The sequence below is a fragment of the Homo sapiens genome, chromosome 10 (assembly GCF_000001405.40).
Source record: "Homo sapiens chromosome 10, GRCh38.p14 Primary Assembly".
Taxonomy (NCBI): Eukaryota; Metazoa; Chordata; class Mammalia; order Primates; family Hominidae; genus Homo; species Homo sapiens.
Genome location: NC_000010.11, coordinates 12,484,305 through 12,505,158, shown reverse-complemented (window position 1 = coordinate 12,505,158; position 20,854 = coordinate 12,484,305). Strand labels below are relative to the sequence as shown.

Genomic DNA, 20,854 nt, shown 5'->3' with positions numbered 1-20,854 from the left:
GGCTTCTGCATCTATCAGGATAGGATGGGGTTAACAATGCTCACAGAGCACCTCCAACATAAACAGCGATACAGGGAGGAAAATGCCAAGAACTAAAACAAAATGATGATGGTACCTGACTGCCCTGCTGTCAGTTAGAAGCGAGAGTCAGTGGCAGCCTGTGCTTCGAAGCGTTGCTTTGTTGCTACCAATGTTCTTCCAGTTTCTAAGCAGCACCACTTCAGACCCTGCCTGCAAGAGATCCGGGCCCACACCTCAGGAGAGCATCATAGGGGGCAAGAAAGCAGAGGAAGGGGTCATGGAACCTGAGGCTGTGTGCACTGCAGAATTCAAAGGAAAACCTGAGAGGAGCCCCGTCCCGGGAGGTAGTAAGAGAAAGTGGCCTCACCGTCCCGGGAGGTAGTAAGAGAAAGTAGCCTAAAGGTACAAAGAGGGTCTTGACAGGACACGTTCCCAGGGAATCTCAAATTCAGCCTTTCTAGGTTGAACACCATGATGGTCAATTTCATGTCAACCTAACCGGGTTAAGAGGTTCCCAAAAAGCTGGTAAAGCATCGTTTCTAGGTGTGTCTATGAGGCTGTTTCTGGAAGAGATGACCGTTTGAATTGCTAGTGAGTCAAGAAGGTTCACCCTCACCGATGTGGAAAGGCATCACCTAATCTACTGAGGACCAGGGTGGAATGAAAAGGCAGAGGAAGGGTGGGCGACTTCACTTTCTCTTCTTCAGCGGGGCTACCCATCGCCGCCTGACCTCGGACACTGGTGCTCCTGATTCTTGGGTCTTTGGACTCTGGGACTTACACCATGACCACCACCTCCCTCCAAATCCCCCCAGTTCTCCGGCCTCCGGACTTGGACTGTCGGACTGAATTATACCGCTGGCTTTCCTGGGTCTCCAGCTCCTAGATGTGTGTGTGTGTGTGTGTGTGTGTAAAATGTGTATTTGGAACATATTTGTGACATTTAGAAGACTCTGATCTACTTTTTGAGAATATATTACATACATCACACACACACACACACACACAGACACACACACACACACACACCCATCTTATTGGTTCCGTTTATGTTTACTGGAGCAGCTTGACTAATACAAGCATCCAACTCTTTGGTTAATATGCTCAAGGTCTCTACCAGAGAAATCCATGCCTCAGTGGATGCGGGAAAGCAGGTGCCCTGTGGAACTGTTTTCCACATGAAATCCAGCTGAGGCCCTCAGAGAGGAAATAAGTCTCCTTAAGGAAAACCCACTATCCTCAGTCCGGTATATTCCCTGCCTAAGAACTCGAACTTTTTAACACTGTAACTTTAACATTGGCACAAAGCAGGACTCCAAGGGAAAATACTCGAACCTGATCTTCCATCCTATACACTATCCTGCAGGAGCCCATGGACCTAACCCTGAAAGGTTGGCCCAATCATCATGGAAAAGGGGGAAAATCATTTTGTTAGAAATCACAAAAGAAAAACCCCCAAGCCAGTCATCCCTGCAGTTAATCCTCGCATCAAATGTGTTCATTCATAAAGGGTGGAGTCAGCTGGCTAGGTCTGGCCCAACCTGAATTTTCTGTGATAAGATCTCCACTCACAAACGTCCCGCCCCTCTCCCTGGGAGCCCGCTCTTGCCCACTCCCTTCTCTCTCACAGGCCCCCCTCTCTGCTCTCCCTTCTTCTGGCCTCTTCGCCTCACCTGCTCTCTCCTCCCTTGTTAAAAGTAGCCCAGGCTGCCAGACAGCTGTGACACACGCCAAGAGGGGACCTGCTTCTCAACTGTAAACCTGGTACCCAGGAGTTGTTTTACGTTCACTCATGTCGTTGAACGCATTTAAATACACTACACGCAGCCACCTGGCCACATCAGGCGGGGCGAGGAGCAAATGCTCCTCCCAAAATCCCAGCGGCACAAGTGCACACACACAACACACACAGACTTATACGTCTACCCACATACATATATGCACCCACACGTACATATATACACATATACACACATGCACATGCATATATTCACCTATGTGTGCACATGTATATGTGTACACACGTAGGTACATGCTTGCATACATAAGCACATGTATGCACATATACATACACGTATACACAAGTATACACACATGCACACACACACACATGCATATATACACGCGTGCATGCGAACAGCCTGAAGGGGCAACAGTGCACAACTGATGAAGCCTGTGCCAATGGGGAGAACGTGGAGACGCCACCATTGCGAAGGCAACACTGGACTGGCAAAGGCAGTGAACTGCACCCTGCAGTGAAGATGGGCTCCAAGGAGAAAATGAGCATGGCAAGTAACACACCTTCCAGGGTCGCAGGCACACCATGGGACTCAAGTCCCAGCCAGGCACCGGGTCCTACACACACCTCCTTCCCAGCGCTCTGCCTTCACCCTCTCTCCACGCCCCCACTGCCAGCCCTGGGCAGGCTGACCAGCCTTATACCTGGAACGAGAGTGGCCATGGCTAAAGAGCAAGCATCCTGGTGTCCGAGGGCCCGGGCTAAAGCCTGGCACTGCTACTTCCAGAACAAGGCCTGGGGCAGGTGAAGTGTGTGTGACAGTGTGTGTCCCCTCCTCTGTATGGTGGAGGTAAATGATGGTGTCTGCCTTGCGGGGCTGCTGAGAGGACAGGCTGAGGTTTCCCATGGGATGCTGGTCAGTAGAGGCCAGGTCCTGCGGCCGAGGACCTGCCTTGAACCCAGCGCTGCCCACAAGCCAAGACGCCTCATCGCCCTACACCTGATTTTCTCACTGGTAACCTGAGAAACAGGCCAGGATTGGCAATGCTCCCTCCAGCTTGCACGGTACATCACCGCCTGATTTTCCATTCCCTGGCTGGGTTCTCCTTCCGTTGGACTGGCCTTTCTCTGCCCCATCTTGCCCAGCACCATTGAATACCTTCCTAAAGCTCTGCATCCATCACAGCATCACTCAGCCCACGGTCTGCGATGTCTCTCATTCCTTCGGTCCAGACTGCCTGCTGCTCCCGGCACAGAGCCTCCGCCCTATGACAGGTCCTCCTCACCGTGCCACCAGCTCCACACTCGTTCCTGACCCTGAGCCTGTGCCTGCCCTGGTGGCTGCCTGCCCTGGTGGCTGCCTGCCCTCCCTGCAGCTGCCTCAGTTCTATCCCAGCTCAGCACAGTCCAGGCTTCCCCTACTCTCCCTAGGGCCTGCAGCTCTGAGCACTCCACTCTGCCGCCAGCTCCCCTCCATGGAGGTCACAGCAGCACTGCTCACCAACTGCACACACCACTCCAAAAGCATCAAATGGCTTTTGGGGACCACACCCTTGAGACATACCAGGGTTCTTAACCCAAGCACCCCTGACACTCAGGCTGTATAATACTTTAGGGTGGGGAGGCTGTGCTGTGCATTAAGGGATGTTTAACAGCATCCTCGATCTCCGCCCACAGACACTAGAAGCGGCACACACAACCCCCAAATGTTTCCAGATGTCACCAAATGTCCCCTGGCGGGAAAAAAAATCACTCTCAGTCGAGAACTGCTGGAATATGCGTATCTCCGCAGATAAGCCAGGAATTCCTGGTGAACAGAGTCCACATTCTTCATTTCTTTTTATTTCCTCCGAGCCCCTAGCACAGAGCCGTGCATACAACAGACACTATGTAAATACCTGAAAGGAATGAACACAGGAATGAGCACATGGTGAGGCCCATGACATGGCAATCCGGCAGAACAGCGCTGAGCACACGCACTCACGCCCCAGGTAAGCAGAGGCTTCCACACACCTAAAGTCCCCCTCGCCCCTCACCAGATGATAAACTAGCATCAGAACTTCTCAATCTCTGCAGCTCTTAGTGAGTTTCAGCCAGTGCACAGTGCTCTGAATATACAAGGGCTCAATAAAAATGTGAAGACTAAGTAAATTCTGCCCCCAGGGCACTATTTATAGGAAAAAGAAAAAGAAAACTAAAATAAACAGGAAATTGCTACAACCCACTTAGGCTGGGACTACCAAGTTCCATTTTCCCTGTGTTTTCCATCATTGCTTTGTGAGCAGAATGGAGTGAGTTGAGGGCGAGGTGGAGTACGGGAAAGGGGATGGATTTTGGAGTCCGGTGGACAGGGATCTGGGTGCCAGATATACCCATGATTAGCCCAGAGGTCTTTGGCACGTTGCCTCTGGAAGCTTCACTTTCCTCATCTGTAAGAGGAAATATAACACCAACCACAGGAGGTGATTGTGAGGCTGCACTGAAGCAATCTATGCGAAAGTGTTCACACAATAGGCAGTTAATAACAGCACAGTTTCCTCTTCTTCATGCTAACAAGAGAATTTGATCATGTCATTTTTAATCAACAAGTAAGAGGTGTACAACATACCTGTGTACTTCACTGCTAAGTCCCTTGCAAAGAATCCACACTTCATGTCTAATAAAAAGGAGGTTGATTCAAGGACAAATTGGCAGAATGCCCAAGCCTCTTTAGCTGGATAATCTTATCTAAACTGAAGCCCAGAAAGGTTCAGCAACTCGTCCAAGGTCACAAGGCAAAGGGTGGGGTCAGGCTTCATAATCTGATCTTTTCTACTGTATACCTCAACTTCTTACTTTTCCAGTAGAATTCTCAATCTCTGGAATGGCATGACACCCAGCCCTGGCAATGGCAGCAAAGGCCCCTCCATGCCCGCAGGGAAAGGTTCCTGGTGCTGGCTCCCTGACACCACCAGAGCAGATTAACCCTGGGCAATGCTATGTCTCACTGACCTCTGGGCTCAGTGAGGTCTAAGAAGAGGTAAGCCAAGCCCTGGACAGGTCCCCAAAGTGACTAATTCTGACCCAGGAGACAAAGAAAGAAGTCAGACAGCGTTTTTTGTGGGTTTTGTTTTTGTTTTTGTTTTGTGTTTTTGAAACAGAGTCTTGCTCTTATTGCCCAGGCTGGAGTACAGTGGCACAATCTCAGCTCACTGCAACCTCCACCTTCCAGGTTCAAGCGATTCTCTTGCCTCAGCCTCCCAAGTAGCTGGGATTACAGGCACCCTCCACTACGCCCAGCTAATTTTTGTATTTTTAGTAGAGACAGGGTTTCAGCATGTTGACCAGGCTGGTCTCGAACTCCTGACCTCAAGTGATCTGCCCACCTCGGCCTCCCAAAGTGCTGGGATTACAGGCATGAGCCACCAAATGTGGTCCAGACAGCTTTCTTCTATACTCCACAGACCCAAAGACTATGCCTTCTTGGAGCATCCTGGTGCTGTCATGGTCCTAAATGATCCGTGGACGGCTCCTCTTCCTGTCATTCCCTCTCCTTGAATAGACCATGGCCAGTGTCAGTCTCCCCCAGAGCTATGGTGAGGTTCCAGAACTCTGCTTGGCAGAGACACCCTGTTATGTAACGGGGCTGCTAACTCCCACCAATCTCTTGTGAAAGACTTTCCTCAAAGCAGCTAAGGGCAGACAACCAACCAATGACCTTGTTCTTCACTGCCTGGTCTGCTCTAAAGTGAAAATCCCTCTCTCTCAAGCACTTGTGTTGAAGAAGAGCAGAAAAATAGCCTTCCTTTGTGTGCTTCCAGCCAAATCCTATCATAAAATCCTGTGTGTGCCACCTCCCAGACACTGAGCCTCCTTGGAAGGGATTCGGATCTGGGGGGAAATCAATCCTAATGCCTCAGGGCCAACCACATCAAAGTGTTTATTTCTGCCTTCGGTTCTGACACATCTTTCTTTTTTCATTTGATTTTTTTTTCAGAAGGAACTGGAAGGTAAGAAAATCATGAAATATGCATGCAGATATGGATTGTGGGCAGCAGAGACAAAGCAGGATTCTTACCAGAATGAGAAAAGAGGGATCTGCTCCTGGCAATGAAATGAGACCCAGGACCGTCCATTTGCATCTTACTAAGGTTACTAAGTGACCTCATCAGTTCAGCCTCTGAGTACTGAGATTGGTAAGAAAAAAACCACATAGGAAAGAACTGCCCAGGAAGCCTTTATTTTCCTGGTCTCATTTCCATTCCTCTTGCTTCTAGCTCATTAATCAGCAAACAGCATATATGATTTTAAAGCACTAAGTTCAATATCGATGCAAAAAAAAAAAAAAAAAGCTGTAATTTACAAGCCAAGAGAGTAGATTTCAGGTATGACCCAGGGGAAGGCATTTGCAATCTACGCCTTGTTTTATCCACTGCTAAAACTGCTACCTAAATTCTATTGTGTAAATGAACAGAAATCCTTAATTAGATGACATTCTATGGAAGAAACAGCTCTATAGACAAAGCAAGGCAATATTATTATTGCTTCTCTTCATTACCTCTTCATCTGCAAAGTACTAAATTGAACCCCCAACAAGTTTGAATGTAAAGAAGTAGGGAGTTCATGGCAACAATGACTGTGATGATGTCTTGGGGCCCCAAGGTCTGAAGATCGGCTACTTTGCCATCCTCTCTCACCTTGGAGGTCTGCTTCCCCGTCACTCCCCACAACCCAACTCCCTCTGGAAGCCAGAGTTTCTTTTCAGTTTCATCTCCACTCTTCAAGCAGCTGTGGCCTAGCCCCTCCCTGATGACATCCAGTGATGAGAACTAACTCAACGCTTCCTGAAGTGTTCCTCCTTTTCTTTAGAATCCAGCCTTTATCCAGGCTGAAAATCAAACACATCAGTGGATATGGGATTCAGCCATATCTCAGCCAGAGAGTTCCTGAATACCTCTCTCTGTGCCACACCCACCTACTCCTGGCCTAAGGCCTTGTCTACTGGATAACCCAGAAGTCTTCTCCCTTGTTCTCCTGGTGCCAGATGCTCACTCTAAGATCTCAGTCACAGAACAAATGAGCTCTTTCCATCTGGCTCAGGCCCTCTGTTTGGAGCCCCAGGTCCAGGGTTTGGAGAGTTTGGAGCCCCAGGTCCACTCAACACTAAGTCTCCACTGCCTCTAATCACCCTCACATTCTTCCTTCATCTGTTTCCCTCTTTTCTCCCGCCCTTCCTGATATGGTTTGGCTGTGTCCCCACCCAAATCTCATCTTGAATTATAGCTCCTATAATCCCCATGTGTTGTGGGAGGGACCCGATGGGAGGTAATTGAATCATAAGGGTGGGTTTTTCCCATGCTGTTCTCATGATAATGAATAAATTTCATGAGATCTGATGGTTTTATACAGGGCAGTTTCCGTGCACACGTTCTCTTGCCTGCTACCATGGAAGATGTGCCTTCACTCCCCATTCACCTTCCGCCATGACTGTGAGGCCTCCCCAGCTATGTGGAACTGTGAGTCCATTAAGCCTCTTATAAATTCTCTAGTCTCGGGTATTTCTTCATAGCAGTATGAAAATGAACTAATACATTTCTCTATCCCACCCAAATAAATATCTTCCTGCAACATCCTTCATCTACTGTCCTCAGCCTCTGGACTTTCCAATCTAATCACCTAATTTGCACTTTCTTGCTGCTTCCAAGGCTTTAGTCAATTTTCATGAATCAGGCTTTTGTAAAATTGGACTTTTCAAGCCCAGCCATTTGGGATACAGACATAAAATTCAAATATGCTAGAGTTGGAGTAGTTGCATTTCATAATTTTAAACAAGTTTATGTCAGGTATTGCTATAAGGGAACACACACCAAATCTTAAACCTAATAGAATTTAAGCCCATCACAACCATAAAAAGAAATACAACTTTTTTTTTTTTTTTTTTTTTTGAGATGGAGTCTTGCTCCGTCACCAGGCTGAGGTGCAGTGGCGTGATCTCGGTTCACTGCAACTTCCTCCTCCCAGGTTCAAGTGATTCTCCTGCCTCAGCCTCCTGAATAGCTGGCACTACAGGCACGCACTACCACACCAGGCTAATTTTTGTATTTTTAGTAGAGACGGGATTTCACCATGGTGGCCAGGAAGGTCTCAATTTCTTGATCTCGTGATCCTCCGGCTTCGGCCTCCCAAAGTGCTGAGATTACAGGCATGAGCCACCACGCCTGGCTCAACTTGCTTTTAAATGCTGTTAACGAAAGACATGGAATCAACCCAAATGCCCATCAATGATAGACTGGATAAAGAAAATGTGGTACATATACACCATGGAATACGATGAAGCCATAAAAAGGAGCAAGATCATGTCCTTTGCAGGGACATGCATGAAGCTGGAAGCCATTATCTTCAGCAAACTAACGCAGTAACAGGAAACCAAACACCGCATGTTCTCACTTATAAGTGGGAGCTGAACTATGCGAACACACGGACACAGGGAGGAAAACACCACACACTGGTGCCTGTTGGGAGGTGGCTGTGGGGGGAAGGAGAGCATTAGGGAAAATAGCTAATGCATGCCAGGCTTCATACCTAGGTGATGGGTTTGACAGGTGCAGCAAACCACCATGGCACACGTTTCCCTATGTAACAAACCTGCACATCCTGCACATGGACCTCAGAACTTAAAATAAAAATACAATTTAAATGAATAAATACATGCTATTAGCAATGGATTGTTTCTGTTTTACTTCTAACGAAAATTTGGTATTGTCACAGAGACTCCAAGCTGTTCTTCACCAGCTATTCCCTCTTCTAGGGCATAAGGTCTCTGGTTTGGGACTAGACCCACCTCCCTCAGAATGGAGGCCATAGTTCCACCTTTGCTTGGACATTACTGCCCATGAAGCCTCTCCTCACTGACGTCAGCTCTGGGCCCCTTCTTCTGTGCCCTCTCCTCCATTCTGCTGTCTGACATGTGGAGGCCCCCATTTAGGACCATGCAATCATGCCACACAAGACAGAGCAACAAGACAGAAACAGCCCGGGTCCCAGACGCCATGAAGAGCCACAACGACCCTAGAGAGAAACAGCCCCTACCCTGGTTTAACCGCAGTTATGTGCAGTCATAGTTCTATGATTTGCAGGCAATCTTGACCCTAACTGATATAGTCATTAAAGTTTAAGTGTCTCAGGTTTAAAAACTTAACACCAACTTCATAAAGACATTGGCAACCAAGGTAATTTACCAAGAATGCATTTGCCTACATCCTTTAGAGAACCAGGAACATTTAAGAAAACACACACATAGGCTGGGCACGGTGGGCTAACTCCCAGCACTTTGGGAGGCCGAGGCAGGAGGATTGCTTGAGCTCAGGAGTTCAAGACCAGCCTGGACAACATGGTGAAACCCCATCTCTACAAAAAATACCAAAAAAATAGAGGGCACAGTGGCGCACACAAGTAGCCCCAGCTACTCAGGAGGCTGAGGTGGGAGGATCACTTGAACCCAGGAGGTAGAAGTCGTAGTGAGCTGAGATAGTGCCACTGCACTCCGGCCTGAGTGACAGAGTGAGACCCTGTCTCAAGAAGAAAAAAAATATATACATATAAAGGAATATTTGAGGAAAAAAGTTTTACCAATAGTAGGTGAATATGTATTTCCAATTTTTCAATCTTTCACCCACTAAATCCTCAACAGACAACAATGACTCCTGTTGGACATTCTTCCTTCCTGATTCTATTAGTGTAACCTGTTGGAGTATTTTCATCCTTTCAAATTGTCCACCTGTTTATTCCTCAACTTTCCAAAGGACGTCGAAAGCTAAATGAGCAATACACAAACATGAACCATTCTGGGATTCTGCATTTCTTAGAGAGCTAAATGTTTTGTGCCATTTATGAGAAAAGAGTCTTTGAATTTAAAAATTCAGTTAAAATTTTTTAAAACTGGAAAAAAACTGACCTATTAAAACAGAAGTGTCTTAGATCATCGGAAAAGGCATATCATGGTTATAACTAACTGGAAACATCCCTTGATAACATTTAGCTCATTCTAAAGACTCACTACAATTGCTATCACTATATCCTGCATTATGACAAGGTCATTTGCACACACACTCATTAGAAGAAATGGATGTTCGCCTGAATCTGAAAGTTTTTTTTAAAAAGTAAGTTGAAGCCATTTTCCTTTTGCACAAATGGTACGGGCTTTACCTGAGGCAACACATTTTTGTTCTGAGAAATTCACAACAATGACAAGATGTGCTTGCTTCAGAATTCACCTGGAATAACCAGATTCTAAGTTTACAGCCCACAAGTTCACAGCCCAGAAGTTCACAGTCCACCTTTCTTTTTAATTGAACGATTTTGATAGCGGTGTTTTTAATTCTCAATAAGAAGGTTTTCCATGAGAAGAAAGTCCATGTCTGAGCCTCTCTGACCGCAGTGATCTCGTTTAGAATCAGCTGTATCACTAGATCTCAAATCCAAAACAATGAGATACTCAGTTCTTAGTCAACCAAACCAATCATGGTGAAAAGTCACAAGAAAATTCAAGGCCAGGCTGGGCACAGTGGTTCACGCCTGTAATCCAAGCACCTTGGCAGGCCGAGGTGGGCAGATCACCTGAGGTCAGGAGTTTGAGACCGGCCTGGCCAACATGGAAAAACCCCATCTCTACTAAAAATACAAAAAAAAATTAGCCAGGTGTGGTGGCACATGCCTGTAGTCCCAGCTACTCAGGAGGCTAAGGCAGGAGAATCGCTTGAACCCAGGAGGCAGAGGTTGCAGTGAGCCAAGATCACACCACTGCACTCCAGCCTGGGCAACAAAGTGAGACTCTGTCTCGAAAAACTGAAAAAAGAAAGAAAATTCAAGGCAAAAGCAAATAGGAAATGGACACAAAAATATCTGGCTTTATGATGCACTAAACTGAAATGCAGGGTTGGGGACATCAGATTTATCTTCCTATCTATGATTTCCTAATATAAGTATATATGTGTGTGTGTGTACGTGTGTGTGTAACATTAATATTAAAAATTAGCATGCATTTCCTAATTACACACCATTTGATAAAGAAAAATGGCTAAAAATAAGCTGTGTACCAAAATACAGAGAGAACCTGGCTTGGGATTCAACATTTTTCATAGATAATCCACCACAGATAATCTGGCTCTATAACTAAAGTTAAGCTTCTTCTAGCATTTCTCTTCCTCTGATGGACTATAATATAAATGGCTAAGATTTTTTCTTGTCAATAATGACACAACACCCATCAGACGTGAGACACCCAATGTTGCTGGGCTTTTCATGACTCCTTTGGGAACCACGGCAGGCTCAGAATTTCCCCCTCCACCAGCACTGCACTCAAGAGATGTTCACTACATTAACCCAGGTCTCAAGTCCCAGCAGAAATGTCCTATGATCTTCTTCCATCCACCAGCGTATTTCCCCTCACCTCCGTCCAATGGCAATCCCCACATTTTAAAGCAACAAGCACTTTCCATTTGTCCTTCTAAATCTCGGGTGAGAGGAGAGGCTTCCAACAGAAATCCACTGTGACCTCCCTGTGGCTGCTCAGCTGCAATCCACTTGATCCCACCCCACATAACCTAGATAACTAAAAACAGATATGCAGGCAGGGCACAGTGGCTCACGCCTGTAGTCCCAGCACTTTGGGAGGTTGAGGCAGGCAGATCACCAGAGGTCAGGAGTTCGAGACCAGCCTGGCCAACATAGTGAAACCCCATCCCTACTAAAAATACAAAAATTAGCCAGGCGTGGTGGCACACACCTGTAATCCCAGCTACTCGAGAGGCTGAGGGAGCAGAATCGCTTGAACCCAGGAAGTGGAGGTCACAGTAAGCTGAGATTGCGCCACTGCACTCCAGCCCGGGTGACAGAGAGAGACTCTGTCTCAAATTAAAAAAAAGAAGAAAAAGAAAAGAAAATTGCAGGCATGAGTGTATACATGCATTTTCTTGTGAGAAGATGCACAGCTTCCATCTGACGTTTCAGACATTAAAAGGTTAAGAACATGGACTCAGCGATCATGGAAGTTTCCTTCCTGCCCCAGCACGCTGAAAGGTGGAAGGCTGTTGATGCTGGCCACATCTCCCCAGGAGCCCTGTGAGCACCCCAAAGGTAATCCTGCCCAGTCTCACACTTCAGTCTGCGCTCCTCAACCCTTATAGAAATCATTCGCTAGCCACAACACCACTTCTTATAGGACACACCAGCAAGACCTGTCCTGGGGTAGCCTGAGGGACAGACTGGTGACCGCAGAGGGTTGTTTCTAGAAACCGTGTCATGAAAAGATTTGCCTACTTGGCTCAGTAAACATGCCACAATGCCCTGTTATCAACAAGAGTACAGAAAGCAAGTGTGCAAGGGTTTCATCCATGAATAAAAGTACCCTGCACCTTCCAGGGTTGACAGCCTGTGAAGCACAGGAGCGGAGCCAGGGAAGCCGGGCATCCACCATCAGCCAGAGACAGAGGGAGTGGGACTTTAAAATCAGTCCCAAAGATGAACAATCCTATACCAAGAAAGTAACGACAGACAGTCACCTACAGCAAAGGAGCAGCCGTTCTTGTGTACAGCTCGGGGGACCTCAAGCTACCAGCCTGGAGGCTCACACATACAGGTGTGGTGGGGAGCCCACAACTGACTCCTTGGGGTGGTGAGAATCTGCCCTCGGGTCCTGTGGCCCTTAAATGGTGAGTGTCACCATGTGATACCATGACTGTCAAACAGTGGCTGTGCGTGCATTTTTGTTACTACAGTTTCATTTTATTTCATTTGAGATGAGGTCTCACTGTGTTGCCCAGGCTGGTCTTAAACTCTTGGCCTCAAACAATCCTCCCACCTCCACCTCCCAAGTAGCTGGGATTACAGGTGTGTGCCACTGCATCTAGCTAATTTTTTGTATTTTTTGTAGAGACAGGGTCTCACTATATTGCCCAGGCTAGTCTCAAACTCCTGGGCTCAAGCGATCCTCCCACATCAGCTTCCCAAAAGCATGCGAGTGGATGGCAGGTATGAGCCACTGCACCCAGTCTTTTCTTTTTTTTTTTTTTTTTTGAGATGAGGTGTTACTCCAGTTTCCTAGTAAGCAGAACCCCACGGTTTGATTTCTCTGTCCATGGCGGCAATAGCAGAATTTCACCATGATGGCGGCTCAGGCTCTGCCACAAACCTGGCACCGTGAAGGGCAGCCCGAGAGTGGAAGGAGCCAGGCCTGCAGCCGCAACAGCCACAGTAGGCACTTCCCACTGTCATCCTCTCAAAGAGACCCTGTGAAAAAAACAAAAAAATTAAGCCTCCAGTCAGAAATGCATTAAACAGGCCAGGCACGATGGCTCACACCTGTGATCTCAGCAGTTTGGGAGGCTGAGGTGGGCAGATCACTTGAGGTCAGGAGTTCGAGACCAGCCTGGCCAACATGGTGAAACCCCATCTCTACTAAAAATAAAAAATTAGCCAGGTGTGGTGGTGATGCCTGTAATCCCAGTTACTTGGGAGACTGAGGCAGGAGAATCACTTGAACCCGGGAGATGGAGGCTGCAGTGACCGAGATGGCACCACTGAACTCCAGCCTGGGTGATGGTGTGAGACTCTGTCTCAAAAACAAAGAAAAAAAAGAAATTCATTAAACAGAAGGAGACTGAGAATCGTGGCTACAGGGCTTTTAATGACTTTATCAACAATTAGCAATCGGCGGCCGGCCTTCCTGTGCCAGACTCTGCGGGAAATGCTCATGATTTCAGTTCATCCTCTCGGCGATACTGGGAGGTGTTTCACCGCTTCATAGGTGAGGAAAGGCAGGCACAACCTGCCCACTGCCTGCAGCTCAACAGGACACCTAGGGCTGACTTACAGGATCTTCTATTCTGGTAGAATTTTCTTTCATACAAGGAAATTCCCATCCACCCACCCCCTCACAACAAAAAAATATATATACATTTCCTTATTTTTGTATCACCTCCAAAAATATTTTTTGAATGACCCTGGACTATGAGGCAGCAGTCATTTTCTAATAATAAAAAGGGGTTAATAAAATAAATACAGGTGCTTCTGGCAAAAGCACTATCACCTGGTTCAACCTCTGTCACTGGTGTGAAGACCACCACATCCAGCCCAATGAACTCAATTAATCACCATCAGTTACACAGCAGAACAGCACAGCCAAATGTTCCCAGGGATTTCCTAGCAAAGCCTGAGGTTCTGTCTTCAAACACCTGCACACACATGCACGCAGACACACACACACACACACACATACTCTCATACCCTCCAGTGATGCAGTTACAACCAAGTGTGCATGGGGCCAGGTGATTCTGGCAAAAACACAGAAATCAGCATTTCTCAAATCCCCAGCATCTGCACAGAACCATTTTCCTTATTTTCCTTCATAGAAATTCCCACCTATACATGAGTTTATTTCTGGAAATTGTTTTGTTCCATTAACATTTTAAGAATAACTTTTTATGGATACCTAATCGTTGGACATATTTATGGGGCATGTGTGATATTCTGATGTGTGCATACAGTATGTCATCACCAAATCAGCGTATTTAGGATATCTATCACGCGCAAACATTTGCCATTTCTCTGTGGTTTTTCTTTTTTCTTTTTGGCTCATTGCAACCTCCGCCTCCTGGGTTCAAGCGATTCTCCTGCCTCAGCCTCCTGAGTAGCTGCGATTACAGGCATGTGCCACCACACCTGGCTAATTTTTGTATTTTTAGTAGAGACAGGTTTCACCATATTGGCCAGGCTGGTCTTGAACTGACCTCAGGTGATCGGCCCACCTCGGCCTCCCAAAGTGCTGGGATTACAGGCGTGAGCCGCCGCACCCAGCCTCTTTGTGGTTTTTCTTTTCGTTATAGAGTGAATATCAGTGAGACTGCCCTAATTCTATCACTTTAAGAAAGTAATAATGTTCTGCTACTTTTTCTCAATGCCCTTCCTCTGTCCGCCCTCTGTCAGAATACCTCTTTCTCCCATATCACTATCCTGTCTTCCCATTAAGCTGGGGAGCCAGTCCCCCAGTTCCCCCTCCACACCACAGGACCTAACATCCCTGGGCAGCAGAATAACCCCGTCCCAGCGCCCTGCAAGCAGCCAGCTTTAATGACAGTTCCAAGAACAGTCTCGCTGTTTCACACTTATCCCACTCAAAACAATGTCCTCAGGCAGGAGGGGAAGACCCTACAAGTGACTTCCCAGGCCCAAGTAAGGCTTCACAGCAGAGGCCAGGGCTGGGTAGAGGGGGCGAGTTGCTCTCACTCAGAGGCCCTCGGAGACTGCACCCAGGAAAACCTTCCCCACAGCAGTGGCTGGAGACACACCCACGTGGCACCCTTGCCCTCCCCTGCTCCAGCCAAGGAGCCACCAACACATCCAGAGCCCAGACCCGTGAGTGTGCCTGCCCCGTTCACACCTGCCCCACGCTCCCTCAAGCCAGGGAACATCACATCCAGCAACACATTCCTCTCGGGCTGAATGCCGGAATGCAGACTCGGAGGTGTCGGGGCGTCTGGCAGCTGCAGGGACATCAGCCCGTGGTCCCTGCAGAACCAGCTTCACCTAAAAGCAATCGCTGACACCAGAGAGTCCACCTCAGGCAAACTTCTGTGAGAGTTGCAGATAACAGCTCAGAAATGATGGTGGAAGAGACTAAACAGAGGGGAGAAAGGGCTCGTCCAGCATAACTACCACGAAGGCAAAGGTGGAAGTTATCCCATTCATTTATGTCGTGTAAACCAGGCATCCCCAACCTCCGGTTAGGAACGAGCTGCACAGAAGTAAGCAGGGAGAAAACGAGCGAAGCTCCATCTGTATTTCTCCCTCCTCCCAAGGCCACCCCAAGAGCCTGTTGTTAAACATTTACCAGCACACCACTGGGCTGCTTCCCTACCGCTTGATTAAAATGATCCTTATGGAAGCACAAATGACTTCACTGTCACTAAATCCAAGGGACACTTTTTAGTCTTTATTTTTCTTCAACTCTCCAGGATGTTTGAGATCCTTCCCTCCCTCTTGAGCCTCCTCTCCTGCCTGGCTTCAGGGGCTCACTGCTGACTTTTCATTTCTAAGCACATGTTCTCAGGCCCTCGACACCAGGGGTCCTCAGCCTGCGGGCCATAAACCGATACCAGTCTGTGGCCTGTTAGAAACCAGGCCGCACAGGCCAGGCACAGTGGCTCACGCCTGTAATCTCAGCACTTTGGGAGGCCGAGGCCGGCGGATCACAAGGTCAGGGGATCGAGACCATCCTGGCTAACACAGTGAAACTCCCTGTCTCTACTAAAAATATAAAAAAATTAGCCAGGCACGGTGGCGGGCGCCAGTAGTCCCAGCTACTCGGGAGACTGAGGCAGGAGAATGGCATGAACCTGGGAGGCGGAGCTTGCAGTGAGCCGAGATCACACCACTGCACTCTAGCCTGGGCCTCAGAGCGAGACTCCATGTCAAAAAATAAATACATAAATAAATAAAAGGCTGCACAGCAGGAGGGGGACGGCAAGTGAGCGAAACCTCATCTGTATTTACAGCCGCTCCCCATCCCTCGCATCACCGCCTGAGCTCCGCCTCCGTCAGATCAGCGGCGCCATTAGATTCTCACGGGAGTATGAACCCTATTGTGAACTGCGCACGCGAGGGATCTAGGTTCCACACTCCTTATGAGAATCTAATGCCTGATGATCTGTCACTGTCTCCCATCACCTCCAGATGGGACTGTCTAGTTACAGGAAAACAAGCTCAGGGCTCCCACTGGCTCTACATGATGGTGAGTTGTAGAATTATCTCGTTATATATTATATATTACAATGTAATAATAACAGAAGTAAAGTGCACAATAAATGTCATGTGCTTGAATCATCCCGAAACCATCCCCCATCCCAGTCCACGGAAACATTTGTCTTCCATGAAACCAGTCCCTGGTGCCAAAAAGGTTGGGGACCACTGAGGGAGACAGTCTGTATTCATGAAAATCTCCTCTGCCATCTGCACTAACTGGAGTCACTGCTTATGTTCATAGTGAGTTGATCCATGGAATCAACCCCTCATTTTGTGCCCTGCAGAAGACACTCTAAAGATAGTCATTTCCTCATACTATACTCATCCAGGGTGCACAGGGGAAGCACTGAGTGTTAACCACCATCACATCTGGGATTTGGGCACCCACCTCTGCGATTTCAGGGGGCTTGGAAGGCCTCCATCCTCAGAAAAAAAAATCTGCACCCATTCAACAGTCAACACTGGAAACTTGACCCAGACTTCCAACTCTGTGAAGTACAATAGCAAGTTGTTAGCAGTCTCTTCTACTTAGAGTGAATGGGGTTGGGAGAATTAGAGGGAATGATGGCTGTGAAGGGAGTGGAGCTTGGAAAAGAGGTTTCCTGGCACTTTAGGAAATACCCTCGTATTTCCCAGGCTTGTGTTCATCAAGTGAAGTTGCTCTGTTGAGATCCTGAAATGCCAAGCTTATTTCAACATGGCTGGAGGAGCCATGAACCCATGTCTATTTAACAAGCATGTATTAAATAGGTATTTTTATGCTATAGGTAATTTGTTGTCCCAAATCCACACTTCCCATTTCAGCTAATATTGACATTTGCTGAATACTCCTCAGGGTCTACAGAGAACCAACATTCTGCTGTTAGAACAGACAGAAAAATCACAGTCCCAGTGACTCCTCAGAACAGACTGCATCTTTCTGAGGACAAAAGCCCCTTGTAGGATCCACAAGAAGTGATTCCAGTTACGTGACACCTTTCTTCTGGGATCTGTGGCATTGCAATGATGAGCTGAGCTCGCTGCAGGCATTGATTTGAAAAGGATTCAAGGATGACTTTGGAGTCAACCCAATAAAATCAAACTCAAATCAACAAAAGTACAAATCAACTCAGGCTGTCTCTGCCACAGGCCAACTCCCAGGTCCATGTTAGCTGTTAGAGGACAGTCCATGAAATAAGTCATCAAATTATAAGCCTTGTGAATTGATCAATAAGGTCACTCAATTTTATGAATTAGAGGCTGGAAGAAGTGTGGGGTAGTTCATTTGAAATAATCCATGTATTCCTGGAAGAGTTCACATAAATCAAAATTTTCCATATAAAAGAGGAAACCCGATAAAGAGACCTTGAGGAGAAGCCTATTTTAATGAAAAAATTTAGCTCCTAAAATGATGAGAACATATGAACATAATGCGAGGGACAGCTGACACCGGGGCCTCCTTCAGGGTGGAGGATGGGAGGAGGAAGGGGATCAGAAGAAATCACTATTGGTTACTAGGCTTAGTAGTTGGGTGATGAAATAATCTGTACAACAAACCCCCATGACATGAGTTTACCTATATCACAAACTTACACATGTACCCCTGAACCTAAAATAAAAGGTGTTTTTTTTCTTTTAATTAGCTCCTAAATTTCTCCTTTTGCCCAGTTTTGTTTTATGTGTGAATTTTTTTATTTTTACATTTTTAGAGACAGGATCTCATTCTGTCACCCACGCTGGGGTGTAGTGGTGCGATCATGGCTCACTGCAGCCTCAAACTCCTGGGCTCAAGTGATCCTCCCTTCTCAGCCTCCCAAGTAGCTGAGACTACAGGCATGAACCACAGTGCCTGGTAATGCATGAAATGTTTTAAAAGTGGGCCCCTCGGGGCTGTAAGCCTCTGGCTCACTGCCTGTAACACAAAGATTAAACTGAGAGAGACCCCAAATTCCACGGCTCTGCTTCATTGCTGCCTTTTTATAAAATCTTGTAACAGAGAAGCTGGCATTTTGGCTGGGCTACAAAGAAGGAGTTTACTCAGCAGATAGTTGTACTAGGGTTCTCCAGAAAAACAGAACTAATAGTGTCTGTACGTGTGTGTGTGTGTGTGTGTGCACGCGCACACATGCACACGTGGGTACATGGTGCATGATTTATCATAAGCAATTATAAGAGACTGACAAGTCCCCGCCAGGTGCAGTGGCTCATGCCTGTAGTCCCAGCACTTTGGGAGACCGAGGCAGGCAGATCACGAGGTCAGGAGATCAAGACCATCCTGGCTAACACAGTGAAACCCCATCTCTACTAAAAATACAAAAAATTAGCCAGGTGTGGTGGTGGGCACCTGTAGTCCCAGCTACTCCAGAGGCTGAGGCAGGAGAATGGCCAGAACCTGGGAGGCGGAGCTTGCAGTGAGCTGGGATCGTGCCACTGTACTCCAGCCTGGGTGACAGAGCGAGACTCTGTCTCAAAAAAAAAAAAAGAGACTGGCAAGTCCCAAGACTCATAGAATTAATAGCATGTGTACGTGTGTGTGTGCACTGCATGGGTGCTTCATTTATTGTACAAAATTATAAGATGCTGGCAAATCCCAAGACCTGTAGCGTACGTCAACAAGCTGGAGACGAGACTCTCTGCTAATCTTGTGGCACTCTGCCGTGGTCCCTGGGAAGGAAACTGCCTTCAAATCAGGCCGTCTGGGTGACATGGTAGCCAGAGCCTGGGATGGACACCAAAGACTCACTCTGGGCTGAATTTGGCTCTGTTAAGCGAACAGCGCTGCTACAAGAGACAGACGCATACTCACAGGGCTATCAGGTCTTAAGCCCTAGTTAATATGCTGGGAAAAAAATAATATGACATCTTGGCATATTTAGCAATTTTCTTCTGAAAGTTCCAACCCTCCCTTATCGGTGACCCTGTTTGAACTCATGACTCCTCGAGAAAACGTTAACATTTCCTGTTTGCAGATAAAGAAGCTGAATTAGAGTTTTGAGCGGTGTGGCAGAGACGCCACAATCTGGTAGTCACAATCGAAGCCCCACCCTCCCTTCCAGGACTCCCAAAGCACCTACAGGCCCAACGAGCAGTGCCTCTGCAGCCTGCAGACCCACCGGCTCCCTGTGACCAGCCCTCCCCTCTCCTCCACCTGGGACAGGCAGGTGGCAGCAGACACATTTGCAGCTGGGGCCACCTCGCCACTGAACCTGGGGCCCAAGCTTCACCACCATTGTGCTGCCTGTTTCTACTCCCTCCCCCACGACAGGGGGCACGAGGAGCTCCACAACCAGAAAGAATCCCCAGGAAGCTCTGACCATCCCAGGAGCCACCACTGGCCACAGTCCTTCTGCTCCCCAGGGACAGCCGAGAGGCAGCCACGTCTCTCTACCCCAGGAGCTCCTCCTCCCCTAGCTCGGTCTCACTCACTCGCTGTAATAATCTGCCTTAGCCATGTTCGCTAAAAATACACTTCGCCTCTCGGTTACACTTACTAATGCATTCTATTTCAGGCCCGTGTGCATTCTTGCTTAGAAATACCCGTATGGGGAGCGGTGAAAACATGCAAGACGTGAAGGCGACTTTCCTTCCCGAAAGCCTCCTCTCTGTCCGGCTGTGCTCAGCACACCAATCTGAAAAGCAAATCTTTCCACACCAGATGGTAATCGGTGACATTACAGAAAAGGCCTGGGGTAGGAGGAGAAGGGAAGAAGCCAGTAAGGGCAGAGATTTCTGCGGGGCACACCATGAGGTACCCCTGCTTCCTGGTCATCACACCTGCCCTCCCATGACACGCCCAGCCCAGCCCCACCCCCTCCCCCCCAGAGTCACTGTGCCCACAGGAGCAGCTGCAGAGTGGCCTCTCCACTGGAGTCACATGCCACATGTTAGAAACCTGGAGAACATCTCAAGAGAGCCACAAGCTAGGCTCTCCTCCACGAGCTGCCCCCTGGAAGACACTTTCCACATCTGAGGCCAGGGGACGTCATCGCTTCCACTGCTGAGTGGTCCCCGTGAATGAGCTCACCCTCCCCGCAGCTATTTCCCTGCCTGGCTTCCACCATCTTGGAAGAACAAGTAAGCTCAGCTGCCAGTGGCTCCCTGACTTGGCTGGTGTTTCCAAGAACTTCTGCTCTCTCCTATAATTAAGGAGGATAATGACAGCTCTCCATCTCCGATCTCTGCCTTCCTGCAGGGAAGGAGGCAGAAGAACGATTGTGTGATCCCTGTTTAAAGTCCTTAATCATGTTTCTTCTTCCTGTTTTAGCCCAGGATCTCCTGTAATTGGCCCTCCTCCCTCCAAACACAGAGTTCACGCGTTTTCCTGTATCTGGAGGTGAAACA

At 47.8% G+C, this 20,854-nt stretch overlaps 1 protein-coding gene across 7 annotated transcripts in view, besides 3 other annotated features; it reads right to left on the bottom strand.

The window, feature by feature from the left end:
- Nucleotides 1-20,854, bottom strand: part of CAMK1D (calcium/calmodulin dependent protein kinase ID) — a 485,999-nt gene that overhangs the window by 330,387 nt on the left and 134,758 nt on the right. The gene's annotated exons all lie outside the window — the stretch shown is intronic.
- Nucleotides 14,575-15,535: an enhancer, noted in NCBI's record as "H3K4me1 hESC enhancer chr10:12531623-12532583 (GRCh37/hg19 assembly coordinates)". NCBI's record gives its function as "activates a minimal SCP1, AML or CMV promoter by ChIP-STARR-seq in naive H9 embryonic stem cells {active_cell/tissue: H9 hESC(naive)}" and the evidence as "EXISTENCE:reporter gene assay evidence [ECO:0000049][PMID:30033119]".
- Nucleotides 19,741-20,000: an enhancer, noted in NCBI's record as "active region_3044". NCBI's record gives its function as "activates an Ori minimal core promoter by ATAC-STARR-seq in GM12878 lymphoblastoid cells {active_cell/tissue: GM12878}" and the evidence as "EXISTENCE:reporter gene assay evidence [ECO:0000049][PMID:35858748]".
- Nucleotides 20,051-20,100: an enhancer, noted in NCBI's record as "active region_3043". NCBI's record gives its function as "activates an Ori minimal core promoter by ATAC-STARR-seq in GM12878 lymphoblastoid cells {active_cell/tissue: GM12878}" and the evidence as "EXISTENCE:reporter gene assay evidence [ECO:0000049][PMID:35858748]".